General features: G+C 39.5%; 1 long non-coding RNA gene across 2 annotated transcripts in view, besides 1 other annotated feature; it reads right to left on the minus strand.

Moving 5' to 3' along the window:
- LOC107985255 (uncharacterized) overlaps window positions 1–26,057 on the minus strand; it is a 313,794-nt gene that overhangs the window by 168,977 nt on the left and 118,760 nt on the right. The gene's annotated exons all lie outside the window — the stretch shown is intronic.
- Window positions 327–626: an enhancer, noted in NCBI's record as "active region_2464". NCBI's record gives its function as "activates an Ori minimal core promoter by ATAC-STARR-seq in GM12878 lymphoblastoid cells {active_cell/tissue: GM12878}" and the evidence as "EXISTENCE:reporter gene assay evidence [ECO:0000049][PMID:35858748]".

The raw sequence follows: 26,057 nt of genomic DNA on the forward strand, positions 1-26,057 counted from the left end.
CATCCATACCATTCATTCATTCAATAATTATTTAGTGAGCATCTCCTGATGGCTGGTGCTAAGCCCTGGAGTTAGGAAAATTCACTTCAGTGTGTCTGGAAAATGTTTATTCTGTGGTTGAAAAGATGATAAGAGGGTGTGTTTTTCCTTGGGTGCTGTTATAATTATCTCTTTTAGTTAAACATTCCTAGGGACTAATGCACTCCTAAAATGAAGTGGACTGTTGTAAGAATTTCCACTCTATTAGGAATGACAGTAGAGTTTTGATCCCAGTAACCCACCTCAGGGAAAGCCTGTGTAATTGAAATTTACCAATAAATTTAAAATTCATTTTAGCCAAGAGACCTCACCTCATTTTTCACCCACTCTCCCCTCTCTCCTACCCTCTGATGCACCCATATACTCTTCAGGGATCTCTGCTTCATCTGGCATGAAGTCAGCTCGGGTGCTATTTTACTTTCATTTTCTATTTCTCATTGTTCACAGTGTTTGTCTCTCCCTCCCAGAAGCCTTCCACCACAGAGTAAGAACATGCAGGAAATCAGTGTGTCTTGAGCAATTTCTAAGCCTCGCTGGGAGGTGCAGCAAAGCAATAGAAAAACAAGGAGAATCAGTCTCCCAAGTTTTCCTCTCACCACACCTTCCCTCCAGAAGTACTTGACCTCCATCAGCCTCCCAGAGCTGGCCCTCCGGCTCTCTGGAGCTCCCTGACAGGTCCCAGGTGGTGAATATCATCTGCTTCTTGTTAGAATTCTGCCCTGTGTGAGCAGGTTTTAGAAGCAGCCTTTGAGAGCTTGTTTGCTATCAGCCCTCTGACACTTCTGTCTCCTTCACAGACACCCAGTAATTGGGTCCTCTTGGGTCATGAGCTACAAACACTTCTCCACTTACTCTACAAAGTTTTTTTTTCTTTTATCAAACATAGATTTGCAGCTAAACTGTTCCTTTGTCATGCCCAAGGTGTAAAAACCCATCTTATTTTCTTTCTGGTCTTTGGCTCAAAAAGAGAAGTTTTTCTTTTTGAGTGGTCCCAGCCCAGATGGCAAAATGAACTTTAAATTTACCAAGTTAATTATTCCCTTGTGCTACGTTGTTTGAAAAAAAGCCCATACATTTAAAATTATGAAATGAAATGTCATTGTAACTCTCCTAGCAGATTTTAATTTGATATTGTGATTAATAATGATATCATGGTGTCAAAGGTGTATTGGATAAAGAAAATACGGTACATATACACCATGGAATACTATGCAGCCACATAAAAGAATGAAATAATGTCCTCTGCAGCAACATGGATGCAGCTGGAAGTCATTATCTTTTTTTTTTTTTTTTTTTTTGAGATGGAGTCTCGATCTGTTGCCCGGCTGGAGTGCAGTGGCACAATGTCAGCTTACTGCAACCTCCGCCTCCCAAGTTCAAGCAATTCTCCTGCCTTAGCCTCCCGGGTAGCTGGGATTACCTGTGCACGCCACCATGCCCAGCTAATTTTTGTGTTTTTAGTAGAGACAGGGTTTCACCATGTTGGCCAGGATGGTCTCAATCTCTCCACCTTGTGATCTGCCCGCCTCGGTCTCCCAAAGTGCTAGGATTACAGGCATGAGCCATTGCACCTGGCCGGAAGTCATTATCTTAAGCAAACTAACACAGAAACAGCAAACCAAATACCACATGTTCTCATTTATATGAGGGAGCTAAACTTTGGGTACAGATGGACATAAAGATGAGAACGACAGACACTGGGGACTACAAGAGGGGAAACAGAGGGAGAGGGGAAAGGGTTGGAAAACTACCTATTGGGTACCATGCTCACTACCTGGGTGATAGGTTCAATTGTACCTGAAACCTCAGGATCATCCAATACACCCATGTAACAAACCTACACATGTACCCCCAAATCTGAAAGAAAAATACAAAAAGAAAAAATAAATAAATGAATAAATCATGATGACAATCATGATATAATAGCAATGGGATAGTAATGGCTACAGTTATTGTGTGTGTGGCAGGCACTTGCTAGATGCTTCCCATGCTTTATCTACGTTCACACTAACAACATTATGAGGTCATTTCTGTTAATTTCACCTTTTTACAGATAGGAAAAATGAGGCTTAGGGAAGTAAATTACCTTGTCAAAAGCCACAGATAGTATGTAGTGAAGCTGGAATTTAAGCCCCATAGCCTGGATCTGTAACCACCATGTTGTGCTACTTTCTGAATATCCAACAAATATTTTGTTAGGTTAAGCACAATTTCAGTGCCAGTAACCACAATTGTAAGTAATACACCATCATTTCTGGCAAGTTCACATAAAAACCAACCACTGAGTCGTAGAAGGAGAAAAAATTAACCAGGCAAAAGTTGTCAAAGTATTTCTGGTAGAAGAGGCTGAATGCATGAAGACAAAGATCAAAAACCAGTAGAGATAATTCTGGTAACCACAAGGAGTTTATTGTCATAAGGCTGGAGATTTGGATGAAGGGGTAGACAGGAGCAACACAAGAAAGAGCCTGGCATACCATGATGGTCCTCTGGGAGTCTTTGAATATAATCAAGATATAAGAGTCACCCTGATTTGCATCCTATAGAAGAAAGAGCTATAGGCAATTCAGAAGTGAATGCAATTAAGTCCTGATATGCTTCTATTATTCCTGAAATAGCTCTGATTTCCATGGAAGAGAAGTTTAAATTCTAACCCTGAGATTGTGTATCGTGCTTCTAGAGGCTGGGAGACTACTGATGGTCGCTTGTATTTCATGGGCATTAAATGATCTGAAGAACAGAGTTCTGGACTGGAACAAAAATTGGGGACTTTTCACTCAACAAACTTTTTTAAAAACATGGTTATAATGTGTCATGCTCTATGACAGTTGCTAAGGATACCAAGTCAAATAAGAATGGAAGCTACCACTCATGAATGTTATAGTGACTTGAGAGGCTGAAGCTGGAGGATCACTTGAGCCCAGGGGTTGAATGCAGCCTGGGCAATATGGCAAGATCCTGTCTCTTAAAAAAACATTAGGAGGGACGTTCCTAGATGGCCAGATAGGAAGAGCTCCATTCTACAGCTCCCAGCGTGAGCGATGCAGAAGACAGGTGACTTCTGCATTTCCAACTGAGGTACCGGGTTCATCTCACTGGGGCTTGTTGGACAGTGGGTGCAGCCCACGGAGTGTGAGCCGAAGCAGGGTGGGGCATCGCCTCACCTGGGAAGCGCAAGGGATCGGGGAATTCCCTTTCCTAGCCAAGGCAAGCTGTGACAGATGGTACCTGGAAAATCGGGACACTCCCACCCTAATACTGCGCTTTTCCAATGGTCTTAGCAAACAGCACACCAGGAGATTATATCCTGCGCCTGGCTCAGAGGGTCCCACACCCACAGAGCCTCACTCATGGCTAGCACAGCAGTCTGAGATCGAACTGCAAGGTGGCATCGAGGCTGGGGGAAGGGCGTCCACCATTGCTGAGACTTGAGTAGGTAAACAAAGCAGCTGGGAACCTTGAACTGGGTGGAGCCCACTGCAGCTCAAGGAGGCCTGCCTGCCTCTGTAGACTCCACCTCTGGGGGCAGGGCATAGCTGAATAAAAGGCAGCAGAAACTTCTGCAGACTTAAAGTCCCTGTCTGACATCTTTGAAGAGAGTAGTGGTTCTCCCAGCACAGAGTTTGAGATCTGAGAACGGACAGACTGCCTCCTCAAGTGGGTACCTGACCCCCGAGTAGCCTAACTGGGAGACATCTCCCATTAGGGGTCGACTGACACCTCATACAGCTGGGTGCCCCTCTGAGATGAAGCTTCCAGAGTAAGGATCAGGCAGCAACATTTGCCGTTCTGCAATATTTGCTGTTCTGCAGCCTCCACTGGTGATACCCAGGCAAACAGGGTCTGGAGTGGACCTCCAGCAAACTCCAACAGACCTGCAGCTGAGGGTCCTGACTGTTAGAAGGAAAACTAACAAACAGAAAGGACTCCACACCAAAACCCCATCTGTACATCACCATCATCAAAGACCAAAGGTAGATGAAACCACAAAGATGGGGAGAAACCAGAGCAGAAAAGCTGAAAATTATAAAAATCAGAGTGCCTCTTCTCCTCCAAAGGAAAGCAGCTCCTCACCAGCAATGGAACAAAGCTGGATGGAGAATGACTTTGACGAGTTGAGAGAAGAAGGCTTCAGATGATCGGTATAACAAACTTCTCCAAGCTAAAGGAGGATGTTCGAACCCATCGCAAAGAAGCTAAAAACCTTGAAGAAAATTAGATTAATGGCTAATTAGAATAAACAGTGTAGAGAAGACCTTAAATGACCTGATGGAGCTGAAAACTATGGCACGAGAACTATGTGATGCATGCACAAGCTTCAGTAGCCAATTAGATGAAGTGGAAGAAAGGGTATCAGTGATTGAAGATCAAATGAATGAAATGAAGCGAGAAGAGAAGTTTAGAGAAAAAAGAATAAAAAGAAATGAACAAAGCTTCCAAGAAATATGGGACTATGTGAAAAGACCAAATCTACATCTGATTGGTGTACCTGAAAGTGACGGGCAGAATGGAACCAAGTTGGAAAACACTCTTCAGGATATCATCCAGGAGAACTTCCCCATCCTAGCAAGGCAGGCCAACATTCAAATTCAGGAAATACAGAGAACGCCACAAAGATACTCCTCGAGAAGAGCAACTCCAAGACACGTAATTGTCAGATTCACCAAAGTTGAAATGAAGGAAAAAATATTAAGGGCAGCCAGACAGAAAGGTCAGGTTACCCACAAAGGGAAGCCCATCAGACTGATAGCAGATCTCTTGGCAGAAACTCTACAAGCCAGAAGAGAGTGGGGGCCAATATTTAACATTCTTAAAGAAAAGAATTTTCACCCCAGAATTTCATATCCAGCCAAACTAAGCTTCATAAGTGGAGAAGAAATAAAATCCTTTACAGACAAAGAAACACTGAGAGATTTTGTCACCACCAGGCCTGCCTTACAAGAGCTCCTGAAGGAAGCACTAAACATGGAAAAGAACAACTGATAACAGCCACTGCAAAAACATGCCAAATTGTAAAGACCATCAATGCTAGGAAGAAACTACATCAACTAACGAGCAACATAACCAGCTAACATCATAATGACAGGATCAAATTGACACATAACAATACTAACCTTAAATGTAAATGGGCTAAATGCTCCAATTAAAAGACACAGACTGGCAAAGTGGATAAAGAGTCAAGACCCATCAGTGTGCTGTATTCAGGAGACCCATCTCACGTGCAGAGACACACGTAGGCTCAAAATAAAGGGAGAGAGGAAGATCTACCAAGCAAATGGAAAACAACAAAAAAAGCAGGGGTTGCAATCCTAGTCTCTGATAAAACAGGCTTTAAACCAACAAAGATCAAAAGAGACAAAGAAGGCCATTACCTAATAGTAAAGGGATCAATTCAACAAGAAGAGCTAACTATCCTAAATATATATGCACCCAATACAGAGCACCCAGATTCATAAAGCAAGTCCTTAGAGACCTACAAAGAGACTTAGACTCCCAAACAATAATAATGGGAGAGTTTAAAACCCCATTGTCAACATTAGACAGATCAATGAGACAGAAGGTTAACAAGGATATCCAGGAATTGAACTCAGCTCTGCACCAAGCAGACCTAATAGACATCTACAGAACTCTCCACCCCAAACCAACAGAATTTACATTCTTCTCAGCACCACATCACACTTATTCCAAAATTGACCACATAGTTGGAAGTAAAGCGCTCCACAGCAAATGTAAAAGAACAGAAACTATAACAAACTGTCTCTCAGACCACAGTGCAAACAAACTAGAACTCAGGATTAAGAAACTCACTCAAAACTGCTCAACTACATGGAAACTGAACAACCTGCTCCTGCATGACTACTGGGTACATAACAAAATGAAGGAATAAATAAAGATGTTCTTTGAAACCAATGAGAACAAAGACACACATACCAGAATCTCTGGGACACATTTAAAGTGTAGAGGGAAATTTATAGCACTAAATGCCCACAAGAGAAAGCAGGAAAGATCTAAAATTGACACCCTAACATCACAATTAAAAGAACTAAAGAAGCAAGAGCAAATACATTCAAAAGCCAGCAGAAGTCAAGAAATAACTAAGATCAGAGCAGAACTGAAGGAAATAGAGACATAAAAAACCCTTCAAAAAATCAATGAATCCAGGAGCTGGTTTTTTGAAAAGATCAACAAAATTGACAGACCACTAGCAAGACTAATAAAGAAGAAAAGAGAGAAGAATTAAATAGATGCAATAAAAAATGATAAAGGGGATATCACCACTGATACCACAGAAATACAAACTACCATCAGAGAATACTATAAACACCTCTATGCAAATAAACTAGAAAATCGAGAATAAATGGATAATTTCCTGGATACATACACCCTTCCAAGACTAAACCAGGAAGAAGTTGAATCCCTGAATAGACCAATATCAGGCTCTGAAATTGAAGCAATACTTAATAGTCTACCAACCAAAAAGAGTCCAGGACCAGACAGATTCACAGCCAAATTCTACCAGAGGTACAAAGAGGAGCTGGTACCATTCCTTCTGAAACTATTCCAATCAATAGAAAAAGAGGGAATCCTCCCTAACTTGTTTTATGAGGCCAGCATCACCCAGATATCAAAGCCTGGCAGAGACACAACAAAAAAAGAGAATTTTAGACCAATATTCCTAATGAACATTGATGCAAAAATCCTCAATAAAATACTGGCAAACCGGATCCAGCAGCACATCAAAAAGCTTATCCACCACGATCAAGTTGGCTTCATCCCTGGGATGCAAGGGTGGTTCAACATATGCAAATCAATAAACGTAATCCAGCATATAAACAGAACCAAAGACAAAAACCACATGATTATCTCAATAGATGCAGAAAAGGCCTTCAACAAAATTCAACAGCCCTTCATGCTAAAAACTCTCAATCAATTAGGTATTGATGGGACGTATCTCAAAATAATAAGACCTATTTATGACAAACCCACAGCCAATATCATACTGAATGGGCAAAAACTGGAAGCATTCCCTTTGAAAACTGGCACAAGACAGGGATGCCCTCTCTCACCACTCCTATTCAACATAGTGTTGGAAGTTCTGGCCAGGGCAATCAGGCAGGAGAAAGAAATAAAGGGTATTCAATTAGGAAAAGAGGAAGTCAAATTGTCCCTGTTTGCAGATTACATGATTGTATATTTAGAAAACCCCACTGTCTCAGCCCAAAATCCCCTTAAGCTGATAAGCAACTTCAGCAAAATCTCAGGATACAAAATCAATGTGCAAAAATCGCAAGCATTCCTAAACACCAATAACAGAAAAACAGAGAGCCAGATCGTGAGTGAACTCCCATTCACAATTGCTTCAAAGAGAATAAAATACCTAGGAATCCAACTTACAAGGGATGTGAAGGACCTCTTCAAGGAGAACTACAAACCACTGCTCAACGAAATAAAAGATGGCACAAACAAATGGAAGAGCATTCCATGCTCATGGATAGGAATAATCAATATCATGAAAATGGCCATACTGCCCAAGGTAATTTATAGATTCAATGCCATCCCCATCAAGCTACCAATGACTTTCTTCACAGAATTGGAAAAAACTACTTTAAAGTTCATATGGAACCAAAAGAGAGCCCGCATTGCCAAGACAATCCTAAGCCAAAAGAACAAAGCTGGAGGCATCATGCTACCTGACTTCAAACTACACTACAAGGCTACAGTAACCAAAACAGCATGGTACTGGTACCAAAACAGAGATATAAACCAATGGAACAGAACAGAGCTCTCAGAAATAATACCATACATCTACAACCATCTGATCTTTGACAAACCTGACAAAAACAAGAAATGGGGAAAGGATTCCCTGTTTAATAAATGGTGTTGGGAAAACTGGCTAGCCATACGTAGAAAGCTGAAACTGGATCCCTTCCTTACACCTTATACAAAAATTAATTCAAGATGGATTAAAGACTTAAATGTTAGACCTAAAACCATAAAAACCCTAGAAGAAAACCTAGGCAATACCATTCAGGACATAGGCATGGGCAAGGACTTCATGTCTAAAACACCAAAAGCAATGGCAACAAAAACCAAAATTGACAAATGGGATCTAATTAAACTAAAGAGCTTCTTAACAGCAAAGGAAACTACCATTAAAGTGAGCAGGCAACCTACAGAATGGGAGAAAATTTTTACAATCTACCCATCTGACAAAGGGCTAATATCCAGAATCTACAAAGAACTTAAACGAATTTACAGGAAAAAGTCAAACAACCCCATCAAAAACTGGGCAAAGGAGATGAACAGACACTTCTCAAAAGAAGACATTTATGCTGCCAACAGACACATGAAAAAATGCTCATCATCACTGGCCATCAGAGAAATGCAAATCAAAACTACAATGAGATACCATCTCACACCAGTTAGAATGGCAATCATTAAAAAGTCAGGAAACAGGTGCTGGAGAGGATGTGGAGAAATAGGAACACTTTTACACTGTTGGTGGGACTGTAAACTAGTTTAACCATTGTGGAAGACAGTGTGGCAATTCCTCAAGGATCTAGAACTAGAAATACCATTTGACCCAGCCATCCCATTACTGGACATATACCCAAATGACTATAAATCATGCGACACATGCACACATATGTTTATTGCAGCACTATTCACAATAGGAAAGACTTGGAACCGACCCAAATGTCCATCAATGATAGACTGGATTAAGAAAATGTGGCACATATACACCATGGAATACTATGCAGCCATTAAAAAGGATAAGTTCATGTCCTTTGTTGGGACATGGATGAAACTGGAAACCATCATTCTGAGCAAACTATTACAAGGACAGAAAACCAAACACTGCATGTTCTCACTCACTCATAGGTGGGAATTGAACAATGAGAACACTTGGACACAGGGTGGGGAACATCACACACTGGGACCTGTTGTGGGGTGGGAGGAGGGGGGAGGGATAGCATTAGGAGATATACCTAATGTAAATGACAAGCTAATGGGTGCAGCACACCTACATGGCACATGTATACATATGTAACAAACTTGCACATTGTGCACATGTACCCTAGAACTTAAAGTATAATAATAATAAAAAAAGAAATAACCATAAAAATAGGCAACCAGCCCTTGGGGCTGCTCCGTCTATGGAGTAGCCATTCTTTTATTCCTTTACTTTCTGAATAAACTTGCTTTCCCTTAAATAAATAAATAAGGTACCAGAATAAATAAATAAAATAAAAAATATTAATAGGAGATGGAAATATGTAAAAGAACAAATAGCCCCCAGTGTGATGATATGTTCAGTGATAAGAAGTATGCATAAAACAGTGTAAGACTACACAGGACGGGGATAGCAGAGCTTTGGGGAGAGAGCTCCATAATAGGTTCAAGTTCTGGCTCTGTTACTAATTATTAGGCAAGAAATGTAATTTCTTGGGGGCATCATTCCCCTTATCAGCAAAATGAGAACATTGGATGATATCCAGGTATGCTCTCAGTGTTAAAATTAGGTGATTAGAAGGTATCATTTTATGATACCACTGACTTAAAAATATTTGATTTACAAAATTCAGTATGTAGAAATGTAAGCTAAGCATCAATGTCTTCCCCCATCCCCTACTCCCTCTAGAGGTCAACTTCCTGTAGCATATTTGGGAAAAATGCCCTCAAATGATGTTTTGTAAGTTGAATGTCTGGGTATTAAAATTCTAAATGGCAGTTTTCTAGGCTAGCGCATAGCTGCATAACACAATGCTTTTAACTATTAGCTCTGGAGTCTGACCAGTCTTCTTGTGATCATGGGAACATGACTTTATCTTGGTAAATAACTTCCATGCTTCAATTTCAATTTCTTTATCCATAAAATGGGGTTAACAATTTTAGTGTTGCTAAGAGCAATAAATCAATTAATACATGTAAGTGTTTAAAATAATATCTGGACTACGATAGACATTAAGTAAATATTAATTATATAAATCTATAATGAAGCTCAGTGATTTTGCATCCTTTTTGCTTGTTTGGTTTAGGCCTGGGATACTGTCTACAAACAAGAGCTTATCTAATTACAGTTGTATATTGTAAACCCTAGGGCAAACACTAAAAACATTTTTTAAGTAGTATAAATAATGTCAATTAGGAAATAAAGTGGAATCATAAAAATGCTCAATTAACCCAAGAGAAGAGAGAAAAAGAGTTAAAAAGAAATAAGGAACATATGGAAGAAACACAAAACAGCTAACATGATGGTAGATGTTAATCCAACCATATCAACAATCACATTAAATATGAATGCCTGAATGCACCAGTTAAAAAAGGGAGATTGTCAGATAGGATCGAAAAGCAAGCCCCAACAATATGCTTTCCTCAATAAATCAATTTTAAATAAAAGACATTTATAAAGTAAAAGTTAAAAGAAAGGAAAAAATATACCATGTAAACACTAACCCAAAAAGGCTGAAATAGCTATTTTGATAAGAAACAAAATAGACCTCAGAAAAAGGAACATTATCAAGGATAAAGAGAGACATGACATAATGATAAAATAATCAATTTTACAAGAAGACATAACAATGCTAAACGTTTACGCACACAACATCAGAGTTTCAAAATGCATTAGACAAAACCAACTAGAACTGAAAGGAAATAAAGGCAGAGCCAGAATTGTAGTTGGAGACTTTATTACTTTTCTCTCAGTAACTGATAGAACATGTAAAGAGAAAATCAGCAAGAATATGGAAGTCCTTAACAACATTATTAACCAATTATACCTAATTGACATTTCTGGAGCACACCATAGAACAACAGCAAAATATACTTTCTTTTATTAGTGCATTAGAACACTCACCAGGACAGACTTCATTCAGGCTCAAAATAAACCTCAGCAAATTAAAAAGGGCAGAAATCATACAAAGTATGTTCTCAGACCATAACAGAATTAGCCTAGAGAAAAATAACACAACACCAATTAGAAAATCTCCAAATAGTTGGAAATTAAACAGCACAATTCTAAATAATACATAGGTCAAAGAGGAAGTTTCAAAAAAAATTTAAAGTATTGTGAAGTGAATGAAAATGAACCTGCAGAACTTCAACAAATGTGAGATGACTAAAACAGTGATTACATGGAAGTGTATAGTATAAAATGGTTATAATAGAAATAAGAAGATCTCAAACCCACAATATAAGTTTTTACCTTACAAAACTAGAAGTAGAAGAGCAAACTACATCCAAAGCAAGCAGAAAAAATTAAATATAAATAAAACCAGAAATCAATGAATTTGAAAGAAGAAAAAACATATGATCATCAATAAATGCAGACAAATTATTTGACAAAATTAAACTTCCATTTATGGTAAAAACTCTTAGCAAACTAGAAATAAAAGAGAGCTTCCTTAATCTGAGAAAGTGCACAATGAACATTAAATGATGAAAGACTGAATTGTTTCGTCCTATAGTCAAGAATAAGGTAAGGATGTCCTCTGTCTCTCTCAACATCATTATGGAAGTCCTAGCCAGTGCAATAAAATAAGAAAATTAAGAAAAAAGAAGAGAAAAAATATTTATTTATGAACAACAAAAGTATCTATGTAGAAAATCCCAAAAGAAGTCTACAACAACCCTTCTAGAACTAATAAAAGAGCTTAGCAAGGTCACAGAATACAAAGTTAACAATTGGAATTCAAAGTTAATTAAAAAAAAAACCACTTACTATAATGCCAAAAATACTGAGGTATATAAATTTTCAAAATTACATGTAGGATCTGTATGCTAACAACTGCAAAATACTGATGAAAAAAATTAAAGTCCTAAATAAACTTAGAGACATATCACGTTAATAGATTGCAAGACTCAATATTGCTAAGATATCAATTCTTTCCGATTCAGTCTAGAGATGAAACAAAATCCCAGAAGCCTCTTTTGTAAATATTGATGAGGTGATTCTAAAATATATGTGAAAAGACTAATAAACTAGAATAGCCAGAACAGTTTTGAAAGAGAATAACATCCTGGGGACTTCCTTTCTTTATTTCAAGACTTAAAGTTACAGTAATCAAGACAGTGTGATATTGGTGAAAGGATAAATGTATAAATTAATGGATCAGATAGCAAAAAATAGGAAATAGATCCACACCAATAAAATATAGTCAACTGATTTTTTATAAAGGTGCAAATGCAATTCAGTGGAGAAAGTACAGTGTCTTCAATAAATAGCGCTGCAACAATTGGAAGTCTGTATGCAAAAAAAGATAATAATCTCAGCCTATATCTCACAGTTTCTACAAAGATTAGCCCTAAATAGATTATAGATATAAAAAATAAAGCTATAACACTTTTAGAAAAAAAAAACAGAAAATCTATGCCAACTTAGATTAAAGAGTTTTACTTACATCACCAAAAGCATGATCCATAAGTGCAAAAGCTCAATAAATTGTACTTAATTAAAATGAAAAATGTTTGCTCTTCAAAAGACACAGCCACAGACTAGAGAAAATACTTGCAAATCACATTTCTGGCAAAGCACTTCTGTCCAGGATATATAAAAACTCTCAAAATCCAGCAATGGGAAATCCACCCAATTAAAAAGTGGTTAGATTTTATTCTTTGTACCTTACCAGTCTGCATTACCTGCTGAACTGGCCTCACTCTGAAGACTAACACTTCTGCTAGAAGTAGCTCCTGACTTAAAGCTCCTTGTTTATCCCAGACATGTTAGTGGGAGAGATTTTGCTCTTTTAAGGGATTTTTAGAAGGAAGAGTTTTTATCCACTAAAAGGAGTTCACAGGATTTCAAGAGCTCTCTGACTATTGTATTACATTCCTCTTCCTATCTAATCCTTGCTTTTTAAGTCCAGGTGGGAGAAATCTGGTTGTCCTGGATGTTGAAGAAGTTCACTGTTGTGATGGTGTGTGACTTCAACCTATCATCAATTCCATGGCACAAAATGATGCCAAAATAATCCAGCAGCAGCTAAACTCAGAGGAGAAAACCAAATAAGCAGAGTAAGTTTTTAGCTGCAGAAATTAGAATAGATGGAGTCTGCTTTAAATTGGGAGGACTCCAACGCAGGAAGGAAATGTCCTTTTCAATTTTAAAGACTTTTTTTTTTCCCTGAAGGCAGTTTAACTCATATTTGCACTTACATACTTTTCTTTGCGTATTAAGGTAGCAGCCTTCAACTCAATCCATGCTGCATTTAAGGGTGGAATGTTTTGTTCATCAGAAAACTTAACAGAAACTGGCCTTTTATTTGTTACTTTCAAAAGGCCCACATGGTACAACTGGAGAAGTCCCAGTTTGTTTTTCTAAGTCATCAAAATGTATATAAATTTTCTAGATTGAATAACAGTCTTGCACATCTATCATGGTACAATTTAATATGCATCTTTCCCAATCCTTCTTCTCCCACCCTAAAAAAAAATGAAACCATTTTATGATGCATTGCACACCTTCTGGGTAAACTGATCTTTAAATTTTGAGACAGTATAAAGAAAATCTGGTTTTGTCTCACAGTTTAACTGACACCATTTTTTGTTCTGTATATTTAGAATAAAATTGTGAGAAATCTATATAAAGTCATCTTTGATCGCTTCAAAAAAGAAAAAAAAAAGTGGCCAGGCCCCTTGGCTCATTCGTGTAATCCCAGCACTTTGGGAGGACAAGGCGAGAGTGTCACTTGAGCCCAGGAATTCCAGCAGAATGGGCAACATAGTGAAGACCTTGTCTCTACAAAAAATCAGAAAATTAGCCAGGCATGGTGGCACACACCTGTGATCCCAGTTACTCAGAAGGGTGAGGTGGGAGGATCACTGAGCCTGGGGGGGCAAGGCTGCAGTGAGGTATGACTGCACCACTGCACTCCATCCAGCCTGGGTGACAGAGCAAGATCTTGTCTCAATAAAAACAAAACAAAAGAAAAGCAGTTAAAAGATCTAAACCATTTAACCAAAGAAAACGTGTATGGAAAATAAGCCTACAAAAGGATGCCCAACAACGTAAATGATAGGAAAATGCAAATTAAAGCTACCATGATGTATCACTACATACCTATTAGAATGGTTAATTAAAAAAAATAGCAATACCAAGCGTCGACAAAGGTATAAACCAACTAGAACTCATACATAGCTGGTGGAAATGCGAAATATTAGTCTCTTTGAGAAACACTTCAAGAATTCTTACAAAGGTAAACATATACCTATGCTATGATCCATTAATCCCACTTCTAGCTATCAAACTAAAAGAAATAAAAACTTATGTTCCTATAAAAACATGTACTTTGTATGAACATTTATAGGAGCTTTATTTATATTCTTCAAAAGTTGGAAACGTTCCAGATGTCCTTCAGCCAGAGAATCAATAGACAAGCTGTGGTAGATTTGTGTAAGAGAATAATACTATACGGCAATGAATAGGAAGAGACTATTGATTCACAAACAACACGGATGATCTTTTTTTTTAAGTTTAATTTTAATTTTTTTTGACACAGAGTCTCATTCTATCACCCAGGCTGGAGTGCAGTGGCATGATCTTGGCTCACTGCAACCTCTGCCTCCCAAGTTCAAGCAATTCTCCTGCCTCAGCCTCCTGAGTAGCTGGGATTACAGGTGCACGCCACCACACCCAGCTAATTTTTGTATTTTTAGTAGAGACAGGGTTTCACCATGTTGGCCAAGCTGGTCTCGAATTCCTTACCTCAAGTGATCTGCCCACTTTGGCCTCCCAAAGTGCTGGGATTACAGGCATGAGCCCGGCCTACGTGGATGAATCTTAAATGCATTTTGTTAAGTGAAAGGAGCTAGACTCAAAATGATACATGTTATATGATTCAATTTATATGATACTCTGGGAATAGGAAAACCCTAAGGAAGAAATATAGAACAGTGGTTTCCAGGCGTTCCATAGTAGGAGGAACAGTTGCTTATAAAGAGGCAGCACCAGTGGATTTCAGGGCTGATGGAGCTATCCTACATGCAATTGTGGTGACAGAAACATGGATCTATGCATTTGTCAAAACCCATAGAGCTGTTCACCAAAAAGAATAAATTTTACCATGTTTGTTTCTTTGTTTTTCAGAAAATCCATCAAGACAATGGGGAGGGCTGGTGGATACCAGACTGTGACAGAATTTAATTTATGACAAAAGAATCACATAACACATGACCTCACTGAAGGAGATGGAGAAGAAAGGAAGTGACCTACGTAACTTTGGAAAACAGTGTTTTGACTACATACTTAAAGGTTGAAGACATAAGAACTATGCAGAAACATTATAGTCTAATTGGTAAATTTATTTTTTAGAGGTGTATGGGTTAATAGCTCTGAAAATACTTTATTAGTAAACTAGGTTTTAACAAATGAGTAAATATATTTTAGCTAGTGAGAGCTAGATTTCTCAACATCAAAGAAATAAGTTACAAATAAGGAAAGGTGGAAGGCTAGAATGAACTTGTGGTCCTGAACTGGAATCAAGATACAAATGTAAGCTCATGCATTTTAAAAATTACACAGGAGAGAAAGATAATAGAAAAACAGAAATAGAAGTACATATGCATTAGTTAGTATTCAGACATATATTTCCTAGCTCCATCTACTAGACTAGAAGAAGTGATACTCAGCAAGGAGCATACCTAGAACTTAGATCTTAGTTTCTGAATACCGTTTTCTAATAAAAGGAACCAGCGCTCCATGGAAAACTGATTGACTCCAGGTTTGGGACAGAGATAATTCATGATAAACCTGTACCATTCCTGTGGCATCACAAAGTAAGTAATTCCTTAAATAAAAAAACTAAGGGGGTATATAAAATCACCAGTAGAGGCCGGGCGCGGTGGCTCACGCCTGTAATCCCAGCGCTTTGAGAGGCCAAGGCAGGCGTATCACAAGGTCAGGAGATCAAGACCAACCTGGCTAACACAGTGAAACCCTGTCTCTACTAAAAAAATACAAAAAATTAGCCGGGCGTGGTGGCGGGCGCCTGTAGTCCCAGCTACTCGGGAGGCTGAGGCAGGAGAATAGCATGAGCCCAGGAGGCGGAGCTTTCAGTGAGCCAAGATCCCGCCACTGCACTCCAGCCTGGGCGACAGAGCCAGACTCCGTCTCAAAAAAAAAAAAAAAAAAAAAAAAAAATCATCAGTAGAACACAAAAGTAATAATTGCTAGAATTAACAGGAAAAAGTTTAAGAGGCAACAAGATATTTGCATAGTGTTAAATTATCATCCAATAAATATTTAGTATATTATTAAGGGAAAAATAGTACCTTTACAGTGAAGAATTCTGGCAGACACCACCTTAACCAGGTGATAAAGGTTAATTAACATCAGCAGTAATAAGAGAAACGACATCAGGTACTCGTGAGGTAATGACATAATAAGAATGATGCGGCCGGGCGCGGTAGCTCATGCCTGTAATCTCAGCACTTTGGGAGGCTGAGGCAGGCGGATCACGAGGTCAGGAGATCGAGACCATCCTGGCTAACACGATGAAAACTGGTCTCTACTAAAAATACAAAAAATTAGCTGGGCCTGATGGCGGGCGCCTGTAGTCCCAGCTGCTGGGGAGGCTGAGGCAGGATAATGACGTGAACCCAGGAGGCGGAGCTTGCAGTGAGCCAAGATTGCGTCACTGTACTCCAGCCTGAGTGGCAGAGCGAGACTCCGTCTCACAAAAAAAAAAAAAAATAAGAATGATGCATCATCTCTGTGATACCCTTCCCAAGAATGCATAACTTCAATTTATCAGAAGAAAATAACAAACAAACCCCAATTGAGAGCCTTTCTACAAAATAACACAGGTGCTCTTCAAAAGTGTCAAGACTATGAAAGATAAGGAAAGCCAAAAGGACTGTCACAACTTGGAGGAGACGAGGAAGACCTTAATGCAAAGCGCTCTCCGGGATTGCAGAATCACTAATACAATAACCTGTAAATTATAGGGTCTATTTTATGCACATATATTTAAATTATATATATGCAAGGATTGCATCCTTGGATACAGAAAAGATATTAGTGGAAAAACTATTTATACATATATTGTTCTACTGGTTCTGCTTTTTTGATAGAACTCTTACTGATACAGCAGGTAAAAATAGAGCTGCTCCTGGTTGGTCCATCTGAAGGTGCTTTTCCATATCACCCTTTCCTTTCTACTCACTTGATTCCACTGGGAAGTGCTTTACTGAGCACTGTCTATAACTTCCATGCTCAGGTCTCTCTCAAAATAATGTTCCTGTCCCACACAGCTCCCACCAGAGAGGTAGATGTGGGATAGGTCACACTTCTGGGTGTTTTCCTTTTCCTCTCCATAATGTATATAAGGCTATGATATTGGATCCGACTACAGAAATGACTTAAGAGGTAAGTAAAGTGAATTGCAAGATAATTGAGTGAGAAGTAGAAAATATCTGTTTCCATAGTCCAAGTGAAAACACAAAAGCATATGATAGAAGGTCTAGGCAGGTTCCATCCCCATTCGCAGCCTTGCTTCCCTTATCCTCGAATCTGCCCTCCTTTCAAAAATGCCTCCTCCTTCAAATATTCACAGTGCAAATCCCCACCATTCTTCTAAGGTCAACCCCACAGGAATTAATCTGATACAAGGATTCGTTTCATTATCTCTTGGTGAAGGTCATTCTTAACAATACAATTCCTCAATCTAGATGAACTCTACGAACATCAACTGTTCATAGGAAATGTTTCTTCTGTTTATCTGGATATTATTCCCCTAAATACAACATAATTTACAGAGATCCTTGCCTCAACAGAGAATTATGTTTTAAGTTGTGTCAACCAAAATAGTGCCACCTGCCCCTTGAACAATCTTGACCCACAGCTGCCACCCAACTACCCCCATTTATGTATAAGTTATTTATTTTCTGCTTCTAAAGTTCACCCCCAACTCTTGAGGAACAAAGAAAAAACCCTATGAGTGTAGCTTTTTCAAGCCATCCAAATCTTTGTCTCCTGGAAACTGCCCAGTAAAAGTTTCAAAATGACTTTTTTATGTTCCTTGATCTGTGGTTTTCTGTGGTTAGTAGAAGAAAGTGCTAGAGTATTTTTTCCTCATATCTGACATTTCAAGGGGGGAGAAATAGGGACTAGGAAGCCATCGTTGTTTGTTCTTGATACAATAGCTGAAGTTCCTGATATTGCTCACCTGAAAATTTGAGGCGTGGGAGTGGGGTGAAGACCTGATATCTTAATTTCCAGGTTCAGAAGTAAAGTGCCAATAATATCAACTTATGAAAAATGATCCTATGACAAACCTCACATGTGGTACTAAATCCACTAAACATTTATCTCAATAATTTGAAAACTCTTATTTCCATTAGTTTGACTGACTGCAATTCCATAAATTATACATCTATTTATCAGACCTATATAGTGCCACTCAACCAGGGATCCCTCTCTTCATGTAACTTTGTTCAGATGGATCCTCTGCCCCATCCTGTACCAGTGATTCCTTTGCACTCAAGAAATGGGAATACTATTTGGAGGCTAGGTTAAAAATGGGAGTGAGGTAGCACAGAACAGGAAAAGCAAAGTAATTCTGGAGCCTCAAGAACTCTAGGAAGATGTTAAGAATGGAACTGAAGCTGATTTAGGGTAGTATGAACTTTCAAGAGATCCTGAACTAGGCTGTGGCCCAGATTCCTGACTCACACAACCCGTGAAATAAGAAGTGCTTGTTTTAAGACACTAAGGTTTGGAGTAATCTGTTACATAGCAATAGAAACTAATATGATAATCTGTGACTCTTACGGCCTTTTATATGTGCATATGTTTAAATGTTATATATATATTTAAATAAACTATTACAGGTTGGCCTGAGAATCTTAACTCCAGTTATAATGTTGTTCTTGTGGAAGAGCACACTCTGAATTCTAAACTTTTTCCTTAAAAGCTATTGAAGCATTGAAACACAATATATTTGTAAGTTGAGGATTTTCTATATTTAAAGGATACTCTTTTAAAATATCTTATCAATATTTTCATAATCTTCATAGGGTCTAAGTTGAAGGATTGTGTGTGATTTGATATTCCTTTTATACTTCCTTCTGCATTTTCAGAGTTTTTCCACAATAAATATATTCTACTTTTTCCCCCTGGTAAACTCACATGAGTTATTTTAAGACTAACCTGGCCAGGTGCAGTGGCTCACAGCTGTAATCCCAGCACTTTGGGAGGCCAAGGTGGGTGGATCACCTGAGGTCAGGAGTTCAAGACCAGCCTGGCCAACATGGTGAAACTCTGTCTCTACAAAAATAGAAAAATTAGCCAGGCATGATGGTGGGTGCCTGTAATTCCAGCTACTTGGGAGGCTGAGGTGGGGGAATCGGTTGAACCCAAGAGACGGAGGTTGCAGTGAGCTGAGATTGAGCCACTGCACCCCAGCCTGGGCAACAGAGTGAAAGACTCCATCTCAGAAAAAAAGAAAGACTAACCCAAATATTACTTCACCCTAGGCTTGCCCTCTTCCAAGGCAAGATTTAAATGGCTCCTTTCAGTTCTGTTTTGAACTTCCCTCTCTCCCAGCACTGATCACACTATCGTAATTTACCTTTTTATCCTGTGTTCCCTGCTGGACCATGTGCTTATTAATTGTATTCATGTGCTGTGAGTCTAGAAAAGTGTTCATACACAGTACAGGCGCTCAATAGCCAATAATAACTATTCATAGTAATAGCTTATGAAAGAATGAATGCATACACAAAGGAACTTGAAAAAGAACTTTAGACATTTGGAGATACCGCCGTTGTGCATTTCAATGGGTGACTATAGGTGTGATGAACACTGGATTAAAAGAGGCAAAATGATGTCTAAATGAGAAAATCGGATACATCATTTTTGCTTAAACTCTTCCAGTGGTTCCCATTGTTCTCAGGGAATGAAAAAGGATTGAAATATTTTGACCTCGCTGCTGCCTACAGCTATAGCATCTCATCTTTTCCAAACTGTCTCTATCCCTCCTTCTCTTTCTGTCTGCACTTCACCCACCTGGCCATTTTCTATTTCTTACCATCTTTTCTCCACCATTTTACACAGGCTGCTCTTTTCACCAGGAACGACATTTCCTTTACCTACTATAATTTCATGTTGTTAAATTTGCCACAGTTGTAATTTCCCCCTTATTTGTGTGATCATGTATTCATCTGCCTGCTATTAGAGAGCACACTTCATGAGAGAAGATGGTGGCCTGTTTTTGCTCACCAGCACTCATGAGTGATTGGATAACTTTCGGTCACAGGAATTTATCTCTTGAATATATTCTGCAGCTGTATGATGAAAGGCTTGGGTTCTCCATTATAGGAGTTAACATGTAAGTGAGCTGGCAGGAGAGTATTTAAAGACAAGAGGGTATTGTCTGAAGGTAAAACCAATTAAACCAGAGTAATCAGAAAGGAATGAACCCTTAAAAACTGTGCCTGTCATGCCACACCATCACTTCAAGGCTCTTGCTTCTGATTCTGTGAACACAAAAGAAGACATGTTGACTAGATGAACCTCCCTGAGAGGCCTTTGTAAAATAATTATAAATCATATTAATATTCATATACCAAGCACTAAGCACTGTTCTAAGTGGGTTGTATGCATCAACTCAATCCTCACCACAACCCTCTGAGACACGTGGGAGCTCAGGTGACACAAGGAGAAAGTGGTAGACCAGGAGTTCAGACTCAAGCAGTCCAGCTTAGTGCTGGACTGAGGGCTGACAAGGCCTGCCATAAGAAAGGGGACTTAGAACATACAGGGTTGCTCAGGGTAGAAAAATAAATAAATGTCTCCTTCACTTTCACACACTACGTGCATGACACTGGCTCTCCTCTGTTGGAAGTAAAGGAGGTTGAAGGTCCAGCAAACATTTCTTCCAAGAACTGGAGCCACTTCTGTGTCTAAGATTAAGATTTCCCAGCCACTGCCATGTGTTTCCTCTCCTCCCCTAAGTACTCCCAGATGTATATTTCATGTTCTCTATTATGTTAGAGAATACTCAGCTAGATTAGAATCCTAGCTCTGATACTGGTTGTGCAAACTTGGGAAAGTTGTTCAAACTCTCTGTCCCTGTCTGGAAAATGAAATCAACAGTTGTATCATGCTACTGGGAGTATTAGTTAATGCACAGAAAGAGTTTAGCACATCTGTCCCATAATAGACACTGAATTACCTGCAGCTACTATATTTAGTTAGCATTCAATGGCATTTTTTTATCCTATGAACCAACTTAGCTGCTTTATAACATACCTCTTTCTTATTTCTATATCCAGTGATAAGATTGTGGTAACATCCCATTGTTGAGGACATGCCTCTTTCATGAACATAAGGGTCACTGTGATGGAATAGACGTGTATCTAATAACAGAAATAATTTTCACTGTAAGTTATTGGGTTCACATGCCCTTTGATCAACCGAATCACTGAAGAACAAAGCACAATCCTCATATCACAATTTCTTATTTTGAATTTTTATAAGCATGTTTGCGGTTTACAAGTACAATTATTTTCTTGATCATTGGTGTTGAGTGTTGCAGCCAACTGTTTGAGTTCTCTTTTCTCCACCATGGTCAACTGGGGAGGTTGCCTGGGCCAGTCCCTTTCCATCCATCATTTTCCAGTTTTCTGATGCATGAACGCTTCCAGGAGCTGGAAAGCAGCATCAAAGAAAGGTTGTGAAGCTTATTACTGTGTGTAAAGTACCTTGCAATCCCTGACTGAAAGAAGCTATAGAAATGCAAAGAATTCAGTGTGATTTTATCTGCAGAATAAGTTCAGGTCAGAACATCAGGCAGGATTTAAGCTCTATCTCTTGCTTCTTTTGCTATTGTGGATTAAAGTCAGTCCATTTTAATGTTCCTAAAATGTAATTTTTTTCTGAGGATAGCTAGACATGCGATGCTGAAAAGGATTTAATTCACTGTGTTGTCACAGGGATGATGATGTTGGCTCAATTTTGGATGTTAGGAGAAAGCTGTAGGATGCTAAACTCTCCCCCTGTTGCAATTCTCACAATGCAATAGAATTAAGGGGAAGAAGGAGTGCACCTAAGCAAAATGTTAGGATGCTGGACAGTTTGAGAGAGGGGTCAGAGAAGGTTGAACTTGGCAGAATGGCTCCCTGGTGTGGGGCGTTATCAGACCAGAATGGATGAGGATGAGAAGAGAGACACAATCAGCCAGAGGATTGCTGAGTGCAGTTAACTGCTGGAGGGTAATTCTGAACAAACCACAAAGTATTAAAATTAAAAAAAAAAGACACCCTGGGATTAATTGTCATTCCACTGGCCTGTGAGGCAACTGATACCAAATATAATTGAATTACTTTGTAATTATTTCTTTTAGAGTATTTAACCTAAGCTAGGCTTTGGAGATGGAATTTTTTTCTCTCTCTCTTTTGCTTTGCACTGCAAATGGTTTTGCATTATGGATATTTTTCTGCTTTACTGTATTATCTTGTGCAAACTACTCTGGTTTGTTTTCCCCCCTCTTTCTTGCCAATGGGGTTGTTTACTTATCGGAATTAAAGTCAGAAGTGAGCGTCTCTTGCCAGCAGGACAGAATTTCTAATAAATATGTAAATAACACCTCTCTCGGCTGTGGTTGCGGGCACTGTTCTCACGTGGCCCACCAGGCTACAGTCTGGGGCTCAAGCAGGCTTGGAAAAGAGAATAGATTTCATCAATCTGCAGATCAGAAAGAAATCAAATTAAATCAAAGCTGAGAGGGCAAAGGAACAAAGGTGAGGTGGTAATAATGGGCATATGTTCTTGTGCTTGTAGAGTTGGGTCATTTTCTCTGGTCCATGAGTGAAAGTGTCTGAGGGCTGACAAAGCCTGCCATAAGAAAGGGGACTTAGAACATTCAGGGTTGCTCAGGGTAGAAAAATAAATAAATGTCTCCTCCACAGGCAGGCCATGATCATTTCAATATAATAGTGGCAATGCCTTTATCAATCACCTGCTACACCTGTCTAATGCCCTGCTCTATGCCAGTGATAATTAACACCTGGTGTCTACATTACACCTTGAACTCAAAAATACATCTTGAGGGCTGGGGGCGGTGGCTCACACCTATAATCCCAGCACTTTGGGAGGCCGAGGCCGGTGGATCACCTGAGGTCTGGAGTTTGAGACCAGCCTGGCCAACATGGTGAAACCCCATCTGGACTAAAAATACAAAAAATTAGCCAGGCGTGGTGGCAGGCGCCTGTAATTCCAGCTACTTGGGAGGCTGAGGCAGGAGAATCCCTTGAACCCAGGGGGCAGAGGTTGCAGTGAACTGAGATTGTGCCATTGCACTTGCACTCCAGCCTAGGCAACAAGAGTGAAACTCCATCTCAAAAAAAAGAAAAAAAAAAGAAAAAAGAAAAAACATCTTGAGGACATTTGTTGCATTTATCCTTCAGCAAACAAGGAAATGAAATCAAACTTCTGCAGAGGTGAGGGACACGCCATTGAGTGATGCTTAAAAGCATGAGCTCGGCCGGGTGTGGTGGCTCACGCCTGTAATCCCAGCACTTTGGGAGGCCGAGGAAGGTGGATCATGAGGTCAGGAGATCAGGACCATCCTGGTTAACACGGTGAAACCCTGTCTCTATGAAAAATACAAAAAATTAGCCGGGCGTGGTGGTGGGCGCCTTAATCCCAGCTACTCGGGAGGCTGAGGCAGGAGAATGGCATGAACCCTGGAGGCGAAGCTTGCAGTGAGCCGAGATCACACCACTGCACTCCAGCCTGGGCGACAGAGCGAGACTCCGTCTCAAAAAAAAAATTAAAAAAAAAAAAAAAGAAGCATGAGCTCTAGATTGAATTTCACTTTGCCACTTACTTGTTCTCTGCCTCAGTTTTCTCATCTGTCAAATGAGTATTCATCCATTGAACAAATATTGATTGAGTACCACTCTACACCAGACCAGTTTTAGGATATGGGGATACAGCAGGGAACCAAACCAAGGCCCTGCTGTCAGGAATGTCTGCTCTAGTTGACAATAGTACCTACCTCTGTGAGTTGCTATGAGCATTAAATAAATTAATAAACCCTTGGTACATAATAAGTCTTCAATAAACATGAACTAGTATACTTCACCAAAAAAGGCAGAGTACAGACTAGCAGGCTCCTTGGCCCATTGTCTAATCACAGAACAATGTACAGTCTTTAGTTACACAGGGATCCAGCCAGATTATAAACGAGAGCCTTCCTTAAAGTTCTAAAACACTTGGATCCACTTGAATCATGTCAGCAGGTGTTAAGAGAGCCAGAGAGGTGTGTTACATGCAAGTAATTTGATTTTCACACTCTTCCCTTTTCCTGTTGGGAACCCGTCTCAAAGCCTAGAAGTCTAGAATATCTGCTTTGGTGATCTTGCCCTGGCTGCAATTACACTTTATTTACTATCAGGCCCAAGCTGGTTCTCCTGAAGGAGGTGTGGCCTCAGTTAAATGGCACAGTCAGCTTTGTTTTCTGTTAGTCTGTTTCTTCCTGGAGTTTGAGTAGAATGGGGTGATGGCGGGTGAAGGGAGGGGCGTGCCTCCCTCTCTAATGCTCTGGATCTTTTGCCAGCTTAATGGGTTTTGCCAAATGAGTTCCCAGCAAGGAAATCCAGGGCTTGAGTGGAACATGGTATTGGAGATTTGTCAGAGTGGCACGCTTCGGTGAGTCTCTCTCCATGATAAAGAGAAGAATTAATTAGAGTCATAAATTATGGATTACTAATCACTGTACATTGTAAGGAAAAAATACGCAGCTAGGTGTGGTATTTTAAGGGCCAAATGCATGTTTGCATACTTAGCACAGCTCCTCTGGGGCTTCTTGCCTTCCTCTCTTCCCCTCTCTCGGGGTGTCTAACCCAAATGACATCCCAGAGCCTTTATTGGCTTATCCACTAGAAAACCAAATGTGCCTTAGCTTTAGAAGCCTCAAGGAGTAAATATTGTTAGAAGGTGCTGGAATCAGCAAGCAGATTGGGTGCTACCTTTTGGACTGAGGCCGTAGCTAAAGAGAGAGATGTAATTTTGTTACATATTTAAACAGCAACCTTTGAGTGTCATCAAGCCATGGAGATAGGCCTCCCACTGCCACCACCTACCTCCCTCAAAAGTAAAATTATTTGTTTTGATACTAGGCAAAAGACAAATTTCAAAATGAAATTTCTAATATCATAGAATGTTAAGCAGCTATTAAAATGATATTTACATAGAGTTTTTAATGATATGGAAAAAATCTTATAACCTTAAGCACAAAAAGCGGAATAGAAAATCGCATTAATATACAGAATGATCTTAATAAGGTTTTAAAAGCATGAGGCAAACGTTTGAAAGAAATAAGCCAAAATTTCTGGATGATGGAATTAGAAATGCTTTTTCATGCTCTTTTTAAAATATATGCATTTTCCAAATTTTTAAAACATGAGCACATATTACATTAAAAAGTAATGTGAAAGTATGAAAAGTTATTTTAAAAACCTCCAAATCAGCAAGTTGATCAAGGACCGTTCATCCATCCCCAAATGGTGGCCTTTAAGAATGTTTAGGGCACAGGCAATGAATAGCCTGGGGAAGACACTTTTCTTTCTTTCTTTTTTTTTTTTTTTTTTTTTTTGAGATGGAGTCTCGCTCTGTCGCCCAGGCTGGAGTGCAGTGGCGCGATCTTGGCTCACTGCAAGCTCCGCCTCCCGGGTTCATGCCATTCTCCTGCCTCAGCCTCCCGAGTAGCTGGGACTACAGGCACCCACCACGAAGCCCAGCTAATTTTTTTTGTATTTTTAGTAGAGACGGGGTTTCACCGTGTTAGCCAGGATGGTCTCGATCTGGCCTCGTGATACGCTTGCCTTGTTCTCCCAAAGTGCTGGGATTACAGGCCTGAGCCACCGCGCCCGGCCTTGACACTTCTATGAGTGCATTTTCTTTTTTGTTTCTGCCCTTGGGAGTGTTCTGGCTCTCCGGGGACCCATGGCAGTATATCTAGCTTAGAATCGGTGATTAGTAAGTGTTTTTGAAAAGATTATCCCGACAACAAGGT

Source organism: Homo sapiens, chromosome 1 (genome assembly GCF_000001405.40).
Source record: "Homo sapiens chromosome 1, GRCh38.p14 Primary Assembly".
NCBI lineage: Eukaryota > Metazoa > Chordata > Mammalia > Primates > Hominidae > Homo > Homo sapiens.